This window comes from Homo sapiens, chromosome 2 (assembly GCF_000001405.40).
Source record: "Homo sapiens chromosome 2, GRCh38.p14 Primary Assembly".
Classification (NCBI taxonomy): domain Eukaryota; kingdom Metazoa; phylum Chordata; class Mammalia; order Primates; family Hominidae; genus Homo; species Homo sapiens.
In genome coordinates, this window is record NC_000002.12 from 10,732,289 (window position 1) to 10,745,667 (window position 13,379).

Sequence of the window (13,379 nt, forward strand, 5' to 3'; positions counted from 1 at the left end):
TGCTCTACTGCCCAGGCTGAAGCGCAGTGGCGTGATCTTGGCTCACTGCAACCTCCGCCTCCCGGGTTCAAGTGATTCTCCTGCCTCAGCCTTCCAAATAGCTGGATTACAGGCACCCACCACCAAGCCCAGCTAATTTTTGTATTTTTTTAGTAGAGACGGGGTTTCCCCATGTTGGCCAGGCTGGTCTCGAACTCCTGACCTCAGGTGATCCGCCAGCCTTGGCCTCCCAAAGTGTTGGGGTTACGGGCGTGAGCCACCATGCCCAGCCCTACTTTAGTTTCTTTTTTGTCTGTTTGCTCTGTTTCCCCAGTAAGTATATTAGTGTTCTGTTCTGTACATACTTGTTGCACAAGTTGCTTTTAGTGGTAGTATAGCATATGTTTAAGAAAAAGAAATGAAGGCCAGGCGCGGTGGCTCACGCCTGTAATCCCAGCACTTTGGGAGGCCGAGGCGGGTGGATCATGAGGTCAAGAGATCGAGACCATCCTGGTCAACACGGTGAAACCCCATCTCTACTAAAAATACAAAAATTAGCCGGGCCTGGTGGCAGGCGCCTGTAGTCCCAGCTACTTGGGAGGCTGAGGCAGGAGAATTGCTTGAAACCAGGAGGTGGAGGTTGCAGTGAGCCGAGATTGTGCCGCTGCATTCCAGCCTGACGACAGAGCAAGACTGTCTCAAAAAAAAAAAAAGAAAAAGAAATGAAAATGCGTGAACAGGCAAGACTGTGGCTATAATTGTGAAACAGATAGAACCTGTGCAAATTTAAGTGTTTTCTAAACAATAAGGACTAGGTGTGGCAAGAATGAAAAATCACTGTGCATTGTTTTCGTTTTCCTTGTGGGTATATATTCTTAAGAGCCTTCCTATCAGGGGGAAGGAAAATGGTGTGGTCTGAGCACGTCAAAATTCTAATCTTAGCTTTTTTCTAGTCCAGGGGTCAGGGTGTCCTGTGTTGGGAGTTGGTAGAGGTTGGGGTAAAAGAGTGGGTTATATGTACTAATAAATCTGGAGAATGGCATCAGTTCTTTGAAAAGTCCTCGAGTGTTATTAGGTAAATAAATGCTAGCTGGGTCTGTAACCTCGGTAGCATAAACCTGTCAGCACTGCTTCTGCCCAGGAGAACAGAGAAGGCACAAGCGTTTTCAGGGTGTATTGTTTCAATATCCTTTTATTATTTATTTACTTAGGGCACTAGAGTGTTTTTCCATGTAGTTGGAAGGCAGCTTTTGCTTACGAGAGCTTTCTCTCTCTTTTTTTAATTTATTCCTTCATACTGCCTTTGTTAATTTATTCTGTATTTGCCCTATCATTCATGAACATTTGAAAAACCAAATGCTATTATCTTAAAAAAAAAAAACCTCTCTCCCTGTTTTAAAAAAAAAGTTTGAGTCCTTCACAGTATCTTAGCCTGTTTTGCGGTGTTGATTGACAGAGTGCATTTCCCAGGCGCTGGGGCGGTCAGCGGGACCTCAGCAGGACCTTCTGGGTGCTGTGGTGCTTGGTGACCGTTGCTTGCCCCTAAGTGCTTCCCCTGTCGTTGCTTGCCCCTGAGTGCTTCCCCTGTCTATGGAATAGCTGCTGGCTTCTTCTTTACCCACATGGTTCCATGGAGCTGACTGAGGGTTGGCTGATCAAAGATTTCATAGCTGAGTGTGGATGTCTGCTTAGTGATACGTGTGAGTCAGTTCTTGTAAGGGCATTCTAAAGAGAAGTAAACTGGAATTGTAAAAAGCATATAGGCTTTTCTTCTCTGTTGGTGGAAGAATGTCAGATTGAGATGACCTATGTGGCATTTCATGGGATTCAGTGAATAGACCGCGGTTGCATGTCTCTGTATGCCGCATGCATGGTGGGTTGCTCTAAGCTGCTGGCAGCCCTACTGTGTGTGTCTGCTGGGCTCCCACTTTCCATGGCGGCTGTTCCAAGCCTCTTCACCCCTCCTCCTCCCATCTGCCCCTGCTGAGCCCTCTTCCTCCTTCCCAGCTCCTGGAGACTCTTTTCCCCACCTCTTCCCACACCCTCTACCATCACACTCACAGATTTACCCTCTCTAACACACCCGGTGCTCCCCTCTTTCATGGCACTTGCCACAGTGGATTTTGACGTCTTCTTGTGGGATTATTTGGTCATATTTTTCTTCCCTGTCTTTTGCTTATGATTAGATCCCTAGCACCTGTAACATGGCGGCCCTTGGTGACTGATTGAATGGATGAATAGAGGGAAGCATCCTGGGTTATAAGAGCTGGGCAGCCCGTTAGAGATCTTATCTAACCTGCAAGAGTTCCAAATGAGGAAACAGGCCCAGAGAGAAGATCCTAGAAAGACAAAGGCAGACAGGGGTGGCAGAGGAGGGAATACACTCCAGATCCATCAACTTGCCATTAATGGTCTGCCTGTCTGGGTCCATCTGCCCTGGGGGACTCTGTGCCCTGGGCTTTCCACGATGCTTCCAGCTCGGAGTCATCGGTAGAACTGACCAGAAAATGGCCTTTTTCTCTTCCATTCCACCCTCCTCCCCGATTGTACTATCAATCATTGTTACTTATGAAAACACTTAATAGTATTTATAAATCTAGACATTTAAAATGGCTTACTGAGCCTGGGTAAAATAGCAAGACCTCCTCTCTACGAATAATACAAAAAATTAGCCAGGCATGGTGGGGTGTGACTGTATGCCCCACTACTCAGGAGGCTGTGGTGGGAGGATACCCTGAGCCCGAGTGGTTGAGGCTGCAGTGAGCCGTGATCGAGCCATTGCACTCCAGCCTTGGCAACAGAGTGAGACCCTGTTTGAAAAAAAGAAAAAAATATATATTTTGACATAAATAAAATATCTTGTTAAAGTTAATTTAACCTGTTTTTACTTTTTTAAATGTGGTGACTAGACCTTTTTTTTGAGATGGAGTCTTGGTCTGTCACCCAGGCTGGAGTGCAGTAGCATGATCTTGGCTGACTGCTACCTCCCCCTCCTGGGTTCAAACAAATCTCCTGCCTCAGCCTCCCAAGTAGCTGGGATTACAGGCGTGTGCCACCAGGCCCAGCTAATTTTTGTGTTTTTAGTGGAGATGAGGTTTCACCATGTTGGCCAGGCTGGTCTTGAACTCCTGACCTCATGTGATCTGCCCACCCCGTCGGCCTCCCCAAGTGCTGGGATTACAGGTGTGAACTGCCACGCCCAGCCTTAGACATTTTTTAATTACCCACGTGGCTTGAATTATATTTCTATGCACAGCTTTGGGCTGGAGCTCTAGAGAATTATTATCAAATTTGGACATGTGAACAAATCTCCTGGTCTTTTTTTTTTTTTTCTCTCTTTTTTTGAGAAAGGATCTTGCTCTGTCACCCATGCTAGTGTTAGTCATGATCACAGCTCACTGCAGCCTTGAACTCCTGGGCTCAAGCCATCCTCCTGCCTCAGCCTCCTACAGGAGTGTGCCACTATGCCTGGCTAATTTTTTTTTTTTCATTTCTCTTTTGTAGAGATGGGGGTCTCTTTATGTTGCCCAGGCTGGTCTCAAACTCCTGGGCTCAAATGATACCGCTGACCATGGCCTCCCAAAGTACTAGGATTATAGGCATGAGCCACTGTGCCAGGCCCTCCTGGAGACCTTGACAAAATGCAGATTCTGACTCAGTGGATCTGGGCTGGAGCCAGGATTCTGCATTTCTTGCAAGCTCCCCAGTGATGCTGGTGTTGCTGGCCTGAAGACCACATTTGGCATACTAAGGCTGAACACGTTAACTCACGGCTCTCAAACTTGAGTATGCATCAGAATCATCCTGAAGGTTTGTTAAAAATACATCACTGGTCTCCACCCCGAGAATCTGTGATTCAGGAGGTCTGAGTTGGGGCCTGAGAACCTGCATTTCTACGAGTTCCCAGGTGATACTGATGCTGCGGGCCCTGCCACTGTGCTTTGAGGATAGCTGCTTTGAATGGTAATGAGGTGATCTGTTTCTAGAAGGTTTTAAATATGTCATTATGACATGTTTGGACCTGGTACGTTTTTAGTAGTTCTTTAATAATATTCACAAAATTTTTCAGTACTGTTGCTCTGTTAGTTTTCTCTTTGGAGGAGGAGTAGATTCGCAAATTGCATTTTGCTAGAAAATCATTAGTTTCATGAACTCTTTCAAGTTATTTGAATAGAGTCTACCTATATATTGTATCTATGCATCCCCCATTTTTTAGTATTTGCATTTTCTTTGATTAGGCTACCCAGTGGTTTACCTAGTTTGCTTTTAAGAGAAACAACTTTTTAATACATTGATCAATTTTATAATTTTTCTGATTTCTAATAGTTTAACTTCTGCATTTATCATCTTTTCCTTCCTCTTCATTTGGGTTTATTTTCTTGCTCTTTTCTGTAAAACATGCTTAGTTACATGCTTAGTTCATTTTTTTTTGTTTAGTTCTGTAATGCTAACAGCAATGAAGTTTTCTCTGAGTGTTATATAATTTAAATTTTGATATGTGGTATTTTCATTATTTTTTTCCTAGATATTGTGCTTTTTTTTTTTTTTTTTTTCTGACAAGCTCGAACTCCTGGGCTCAAGCCATCCTCCTGCCTCAGACTCTTGAGTAGCTGGGATTACAGGTGAACACCACCATGCACAACTAATAGTTTATATTTTTTATAGGGACGAGGGTTTCACTATGTTGCCTAGACTAGTCTTGAACTACTAGGCTCAAGGAGTCCTCCCACCTTGGCCTCCCAAAGTGCTGGGTTTATAGGCATGAACCGCTGTCCTCAGTCAATTCTGCAATTTTTAAATTCTTTTATTTTTGTTTTTGTTTTTCATTTCTAATTCTGTTGCTTTGTTAGAAAATGAATTAAGTTGGCCAGGTGTGGTGGCTCATGCCTGTAATTCCAGCACTTTGGGAGGCTGAGGTGGGAGGATCACTTGAGGCCAGGAGTTCGAGACCAGCCTGGCCAACATGGCAAAACCCCATCTCTACTAAAAATACAAAAAAAAAAAAAAAAAAGATTAACCAGGTGTGGTGGTGGGTGCTTATAATCCCAGCTACTAGGGAGGCTGAGGCTGGAGCATGGCTTGAACCCGGGAGGTGCAGTGAGCGGAGATCACGCCACTGTACTCCAGCCTGGGCGAGTGAGACTCTGTCTCAAAAAAAAAAAAAAAGGAAAAAGAAAGAAAATGAATTAGGTGCTATTCTGACCTTTGGGAATTTGAAATTTTCTTTGTGACCTAATATATTGCCTATTTTTCTAAGTGTTTCATGGGTGTCTGAAATGGGTGTGTTCTCTTGTTTTCATTGCGTAGCATTGATAAACGTCTATTGGAGCAACACTATCAATGAATGTCATATTTGCTATTTCATGTTTTTATACTTTAGGCGCTTTGCTGCCCTTACGGGATACAGAAAGGTCTGTGACAGTTTGTTTGTTTGTTTTTGGAGACACAGTCTCACTCTGTCGCCCAGGCTGGAGTGAAGTGGCGCAATCTCTCTCGGCTCACTGCAACCTTTGCCTTCCGGGTTCAAGCGATTCTCCTGCCTCAGCCTCCTGAGTAGCTGGGACTACAGGCACCCACCACCAGGCCCAGCTATTTTTTATATTTTTAGTACAGATGGGGTTTTGCCACATTGGCCAGGTTGGTCTCGAACTCCTGACCTCAAGTGATCCTGCCTTGGCCTCCCAAAATGCCGAAATTACAGGTGTGAGCCCCGGCGCCTGGCCATCTATGACAGTTACAACTCCTCGAAGGCTGCCCCTTTGTTCCTCTCTAGCGCTTCTGTGTGCAGTATATTGTCTTGAATTCCGTGCTGCCTGATGGTTTGTCACATCTCTATTTTGGTAACTGCCATGGATGGATAAATGAGAATATTGTTGTTTGAAGAGTTAAGACATTTGTGTTAGATCATGTAGCTGCCTAGTGTCAGGCCTTCACCTGGTCATCCTGACTGCCTGGTCTGTCCTTGCTCTGTGGTAGGCCCCTCACAGGTGGCAGTAGCTCTCCTTTGCCTCCCCTGCCTTGATTTTCAGTTTAGGCCCAGCTGGGATGGTCTCCAGTATCTGCCAGGCTTCCCCCAGCTCCCAGCAGCTCTTATCAAACCAGAAGTCCAGCCAGCAGGGGAGGAAGGAATGTTGGCTGGCCACTTTAGGTACAACATGCGGGAGTAAGGGTCAGCTCGAGGCAATGTTGTGAAATCCCGAAATCATTCTTTGGAGGTTAAATTTAATGTAAGGCATTTCCATCTTGGACCCTGCCCCGGTCCTTCAGGGACCCACGGCTCCATTGTTCCCCAGGTCTCAGCAAGGCCTTTTTCACTTAACACCGTGTTGGTGCTCATCGCAGCCCCAGTAAATGGCAGCCATTTGGACGTTCCTTATTTTCACGAGCTTCAGGGGCAACCTCCCATGGTCCTTTTTGGATGTTCTTTTTGCATTAGCTTCATGTCCAAAGTTGGTATCATTCTCAACAGCTTCCATTTGTGCAGCCTTCTGCCTAGGGTTCGTTCCCATCTCAGTCAAAGGCTCCAGTGACTTAAGCGCCTGGTGCTCAAGCAGACAGTCTGGGCACCAGCTCCCTGTCCAGCCCTCCACAGGAGACGCCAGTAAGGACGGAGTCCTGTGGGCTCCACCTCCAAAATCTGTCCCGTATCCACCCACTTCTCAGCACGTCCATCGAAGCCACCTTCATTGCGTTCCTGTGTTTTTGCAACAGACTCAGTTGTCTCCCGTTTCCCTTTCATTCATTTGCCCCACAGCAGCCAGAGTGATCTTTTTAAAAGCACCCTATCACAGATCACCTGGGGTCGGAAGTTGGAGACCAGCCTGACCAACATGGAGAAACCCCATCTCTACTAAAAATAGAAAAAATTAGCTGGGCATTGTGGCGCATGCCTGCAATCCCAGCTACTCGGGAGGCTGAGGCAGGAGAATCGCTTGAACCCGGGAGACGGAGGTTGCGGTGAGCCGAGATCTCGCCATGGCACTCCAGCCTGGGCAATAAGAGCAAAACTCCGTCTCAAAAATAAATAAATAAATAAATAAAAGCACTGTATCACATGGCTCTCCTGCATGAAACCCTCCATGGCTTTTCTGTGCCCTCGATGTAAAATTCTTACTTGCGACCCTCACTTCCAGACCCCTAGCTTCCTGACTAGCTAGACTTCCTGACCCCTAGCTAGACTTCCTGACTAGCTGGTCAGGCCCCAGGGTACTCCTCTCCAGCCACCCTGGCTCCATCCTGCCTTGGTCCTATGCCTGGAAGACCCCCCACCCACCACCCCAGCCTAGCAGGGCAGGCTGCTTCTTATCGACCCGATCCCAGAAGACTGCTCACCCAGAAGACTTCTCCAGACTACCAGCCAGCCCGGTCCCTCTAGGTGACCCCGTTTTAATTATCTGCATTCCACAGCCCACTATTAAAGCCCACTGTATAAGTTATCTTTGCCTTTTTGGGGGTATTAATTTTGTAATTAATATCCTTGCATAACTCATTGTGTAAATTTTTGATTATTTTAAAGTTGCATGGAGATGTTTAAATAAAACTTTACCAATGGTCGGGCACAGTGGCTCATGCCTGTAATCCCAGCAGTTTAGGAGGCCGAGGCGGGCGGATCACTTGAGGTTAGGAGTTCAAGACCAGCCTGGCCAACATGGTGAAACCTCGTCTCTACTAAAAATACAAAAAAATTCGCTGGGCTTGGTGGTGGGCAAGCTTGGGAGGCTGAGGCAGGAGAATCACTTAAACCCAGGAGGCAGAGGTTGCAGTGAGCTGAGATCACGCCTCTGCACTCCAGCCTGAGTGACAGAGTGAGACTCCATCTCAAAAAAAAAAAAAAAAGAAAAGAAAGTTGCATGCCCAGAAGTGGAATTACTGGTAAAATGGATATAGACATATTGAAAGCTGTTTGTATATACTACTAACTTGTTTTCCAATGAAGTTAGAAGAAGTTAAAAGAACCAAGTGCTTTTAAGAAGCTTGGTTCGTGTACCTGGCAGGATGATGTGTGATTGTTTTAATGTGCATTTCTTGGATTTCCAGTGAGAGTAAACATATTTTCAAGAGCTTATCAGCCATTGTACTCCTATTTGTGTGACTGCGCTGTTCCTGGCCTTGCTCCTGCATCCCCTGGGCTGGGCTGCAGGTTGCACAACTCCAGGGGAAGCCCTTCACTTTGTATGTGCTGGAACTCTGCTCCGAGAGCATGAAGGACCTGCAATTGTTCTCAGTGGCTAAGCTGCTTGGTGGATTGACTTTTTGGCATAGTCTCCAGAACTTCAATGTGTGATGTTTCTTTCTATCCCAAATGCTTGGGGGATTGCCCAGTGATTCCTAAAAGACTGTAGGCCCCAGGGGATTTCAGCAACACTTCTCTGGGAGCTGAGTTCAGGTCCTCCTTACCTGTTCCTTCCAAGGGGAAAACTTTCTTTTTCATTTTTTGAGACCAAATCTCACTCTTGTCGCCCAGGCTGGAGTGCAGTGGCGCTGTGTCAGCTCACTGCAACCTCTGCCTCCCAGGTTCAAGTGATTCTGCTGCCTCAGCCTCCCAAGTAGCTGGGATTATAGATGTGTGCCACCAGGCCCGGCTAATTTTTGCATTTTTAGTAGAGACGGGGTTTCACCATGTTGGCCAGGCTGGTCTCAAACTCCCGACCTCAGGTGATCCGCCCGCCTTGGCCTCCCAAAGTGCTGGGATTACAGGCGTGAGCCACCACACCCAGCTGAAATTGGCTTTTTGAAGAGGGTAGAGCATTACTGTCTGGACCGCATGTGGGTGACTCTATAATGCCAGCTTGGCCAATGAGAATTCCGTTCTTAGTGACAAGAGTAACTTTGCTGGGTGGCTCTACACAACTGTATGCAGAGGGGAGCCCCTCTAAAGAGCTAAAGATCAGCTCGTTATTTAAACTTCCAGTTTCTGTGAAGCCAAGTTGGAATTTAAAGCATGGTGTGTCTGTGTCCAGAGTCCCCAGGGGGAGCCTCCTAGTGAGCCTCACTGGACCTTTGTTTTTGTGAAAAGAAAATCACTTAATTGCTGTGGAGTCACATTTTCCTGGTGACTTTGCTGCAGGGCATGACGATTTCATTGTCCCTTGGTGGAGGAGGAAGTAGAGAGACAAAGGATGGGGTGAGGTGCCCAGGGGCTCCTGAGTCACCAGGGGAGGCAGGGAACACAGGGTCCCCCTGGAAGCTTCTGGGCCTCCCCTCTCAGGTGTGGGGGCCCCTCTTGTGTGGCTGCAGGAGTGAGGCTAGGGCAGGTGGCCCCTCTCATCAAGGTACTCTGACAGTGGCCGGGCACTGGCGGGCCTGGGGTTTTGGGTTATCCAGAGCGGGCATGCTAGCACCTGCTTTCACGGATGGAGACTGGCTTTAGGGGAAGGCTGGGGGTCAGGACCAGCTGACATGTGGCCACCAGTGAAGTGACCTGGGGCAAGCTTCTGGGCCTCTGTGCACTCCATTTCCTCAGCTCTAAGGGCCTTGGCTTTGTGTGTGGAGCATTCAGATATAAATCCTTAGTGGTTTTCTGGGGGCAAAGAGAAGCTCCCAGATGCCCTCCCTCCGATCCTGCCGTGTAACCTGGTTGCGCTCTTCCCAGGCATCTGGGTTCCTCCCTCCCTCCCTCCTTCCCTCCTTCCTTCCTTCCTTCCTTCCTTCCTTCCTTCCTTCCATGGAGTCTCGCCCTGTGGCTTAGGCTGGAGTGCAATGGCATGATCTTGGCTCGCTGCAATCTCGCTTCCCGGGCTCAAGTGGTTCTCCTGCCTCAGCCTCCCGAGTAGCTGGGATTACAGGCACGCACCACCACACCCAGCTAATTTTTATATTTTTAGTAGAGACAGGGTTTGGCCATGTTGTCCAGTCTGGTCTCCAACTCCTGACCTCAGGCGATCTGCCCACCTCGGCCTCCCAAAGTGCTGGGATTATAGGCGTGAGTCACCACGCTGGCCTTTCTGGGTAATTTCTGACAACCAAACAACTCTATCCTGCGTTTGCTAGAATTTTCCAGAAAATCCAGGGAGGGAGAAAGCCTTCTCTTTGGTGTTGCATAGACTTGCCCTCAGGATCCTCAGAACCTGTATCCACTACTCCTCAGCGGGAGAGCTGGAGGTGGGAGACCCAACCCTTCCTTCTACAAAGAAGGGAGCGGCCTGTGCAGTTTGCAGGGCAGAAACCCTGGAGACACTGTGTCTTAAGGCTACATAAGAATCTCCTCTGCTCGGGCCCTGCGATCTGCAGCCTCAAGTATTCACCTCCAATTCCAGCCCTCCTGCTGGGGTGCAAGGCTTCTAGGCACCCGCCGGCTGCTCCTCTCCCCATACCCCTGGACTGGAAGAGTCCTGGGGGCCCTGCATGGCAGGAATGTCCTGGCTGTGGGTGCGGAAGAAGAGGAGACAGATCTCAGGAGCCCCCCTCACCGTTGGGATAGAAGCCCTTCAGCCATCCTCTACCCCAGGGCCATTCTACCACCCCTGAACGCCTTGGGGTCCAGGGTTTAGAAATCAGCAGGGCTAAGAGGTGCCCCCGTAGTGTTTGTGGAAAGGAAGGAAAGGGCACGTTCGGTACAGACCTGCCACAGGCAGATTTGTGAAGCTCCTGGGCGGCCCCTTCTCGCCTGATCCCCCACCGCAGCTTGCCCGTGTCTGGAGGCTGCCTGCCCAGCACCCAAAGGCCTCCAGTCCCTACCTGCCCTGCCTCACACCTGGGCAATGCCCCCCACTCCTCCCACTCCATCTTACCCAATTTCTTCCCTTGGGGATTCCCCAGATGACTATCGAGGTAAGGGGCTGGGCCTGAGTAGCACGCCTCTGTCTTACTCCTTTATTTACTCACTGCTTTGTCTATTTGAATTACCATGATTGACTTTTTGTTTTTTGAAACAGGGTCTCACTCTGTTGCCCAGGCTGGACTGCAGTGATTCAATCACTCCTCACTGCAACCAGCCTCACCCTCCTGAGTTGCTGGGACTACAGGCACACCCCACTACCCATGGCTAATATTTATTTATATATATATTTATTTATTTGGTAGATACAGGGTCTCGCTATGTTGCTCAAGCTGATCTCGAACTCCTGGGCTCAAGTGATCCTCCTGTCTTGGCCTCCCAAAGTGCTGGGATTACAGGTGTGAGCCACCACACCTGATCTCATTCTGTTTTAGAGACTTCTTGGTGGTCCATTATATCAGATGGGTCCCTAGTTGACAAACATTGAAATGGCTTCCTGTCTTTTGTAATTACAAACCATTCTGCCACAAAATATGGTGTTTGTAGCACATGAGCCAGTATAGCAGAAGAATACATTTCTGGAAGTTCAATGGCTCACACCTGTAATCCCAGCACTAGGGAGGCCAAGGCAGAAGGATGGCTTGAGCCCAGGAGTTGGAAACTAGCTTAGGCACCATAGGGACGCCCTGTCTGTACAAATAATAATAATAATAAATTAGACCGGGCGAGGTGGCTCACGCCTGTAATCCCAGCACTTTGGGAGGCCGAGGTGGGTGGATCACTTGAGGTCAGGAGCTCAAGACCAGCCTGGCTAACATGGTGAAACCCCATCTTTACTAAAAATACAAAAATTAGCCAGGCATGATGGCGGGCACCTATAATCCCAGCTACTCGAGAGGCTGAGGCAGGAGAATAGCTGGAACCCGGAGGCGGAGGTTGCAGTGAGCCAAGATTGTACCACTGCACCCTAGCCTGGGCAACAGCGAGATTCAGTCTCAAAAAAAAAAAAAAAATAATAATAATAAATAAATAAATAAATAAATAAAATTTAACCAGGCATGGTGGTGTGTGCCTGCAGTCCCAGCTACCTGGGAGGCTAAGGTAGGAAGGTCCCTTGAGCACAGGAGTTTGAGGCTGCAGCGGGCCATGTAACGCCATTGCACTGCAGCCTGGGTGACAGAGTGCGACCCTGTCTCGAAGGAAACAATACAGCTTTTTTAGAATTTGTCTAGGAGGTTTTCTGGTTTTCACCAGAACCAACCCTTGCCTGCAAATGTTTGATAGATACTCTAAAATTACTCTCTAGTGAGGCTGTACCAATCAACACCTCATCTCAGCAGTGCGTTGATGCTCCTGTTTCCCCAAGGACTGCCAATGCTGTATTAGGAGTTTTCTTTATACACTGAACTAATTGGTGTAAAAGATATTCCTGTGCAAGTGAGGTTGAGCTTTCTTCCTCACGCTTATGAGCTATTTGTTGATGCTCTTCTGTGAACCTATAGACGAGCATTTGACCAGGCCTCCTCACCTTTAATGCTGCAGATGTTTAACTTGGGGAAATTCTAGTATCTGACACTTGAACTACGTAAGGGGAAATTCTAGTATCTGACACTTGAACTACATAAACAGGTCTCACTGTTACAATAATTGTCCCCATGCTTGATGGGTTTTTTTTTCTCTTTTTCTTTTTTTTTTTTTTTTTTGAGACAGAGTCTCACTCTGTTGCCAGGCTGGAGTGCAGTGGCGTGATCTCGGCTCACTGCAACCTCTGCCTCCTGGGTTCAAGCAATTCTCCTGCCTCTGCCTCCCGAGTAGCTGGGACTACAGGCGTGCGCCACCACGCCCAGCTGATTTTTTTGTATTTTTTGTAGAGATGGGGTTTCACCATGTTGGCCAGGATGGCCTCAATCTCTTGACCTCGTGATCTGCCCGCCTCAGCCTCCCAAAGTGCTGGGATTACAAGCATGAGCCATCGCACCCGGCCTATTTTTAAGAATATGGGTTTATTACTTTAAAATGTATTTTTATCATTTATTACCATTTGTTTATTTATTTTCTTTTTTTTTTTTTTTTTTCTGAGACGGAATTTCATTCCTGTTGCCCAGGCTGGAGTGCAATGGCACAATCTCGGTTCATTGCAACCTTGCCTCCCGGGTTCAAGCAATTCTCCTGCCTCAGCCTCCCGAGTATCTGGATGCCTGCCACCACACCCAGCTAATTTTTTTGTATTTTTAGGAGAGATGGGGTTTCACCATGTTGGCCAGGCTCGTCTCAAACTCTTGACCTCAGGTGATCCACCCACCTCAACCTCCCAAAGTGCAGGGATTATAGGCATGAGCCACTGTGCCCAGCCTATTTGTTACCTTTTTAACCGTTTTTTTTTTTCTTTAGACAGAGTCTCACTCTGTCGCCCAGGCTGGAGTGCAGTGGCACCATCTCAACTCACTGCAACCTCCACCTCCCTGATTCAAGTGATTCTCCTGCCTCAGCCTCCCAAGTAGCTGGGACTACACACCCTGGTAATTTTTGTATTTTAAGTAGAGACGGGTTTTCACCATGTTGGCCAGGCTGGTCTCAAATTCCTGATCTCAAGTGATCCACCTACCTCTGCCTCCTAAAGTGCTGGGTTTACAGGCATGAGCCACCACGCCCGGCCAACCATTTTTAAGTGTACAGTTCAGTG

General features: G+C 47.8%; 1 protein-coding gene and 1 pseudogene across 11 annotated transcripts in view, besides 2 other annotated features; both read left to right on the plus strand.

Annotated features, from left to right (window-relative positions):
- The window catches only part of ATP6V1C2 (ATPase H+ transporting V1 subunit C2), a 64,168-nt gene that overhangs the window by 11,346 nt on the left and 39,443 nt on the right, over window positions 1–13,379 (plus strand). The gene's annotated exons all lie outside the window — the stretch shown is intronic.
- Window positions 5,380–5,560: a silencer, noted in NCBI's record as "fragment chr2:10877794-10877974 (GRCh37/hg19 assembly coordinates)". NCBI's record gives its function as "represses an EF-1alpha promoter that drives an FKBP-Casp9 reporter gene in an ReSE screen in K562 erythroleukemia cells {active_cell/tissue: K562}" and the evidence as "EXISTENCE:reporter gene assay evidence [ECO:0000049][PMID:32094911]".
- RNU7-138P (RNA, U7 small nuclear 138 pseudogene) lies at window positions 11,898–11,961 on the plus strand (annotated as a pseudogene).
- Window positions 13,220–13,279: an enhancer, noted in NCBI's record as "active region_15311". NCBI's record gives its function as "activates an Ori minimal core promoter by ATAC-STARR-seq in GM12878 lymphoblastoid cells {active_cell/tissue: GM12878}" and the evidence as "EXISTENCE:reporter gene assay evidence [ECO:0000049][PMID:35858748]".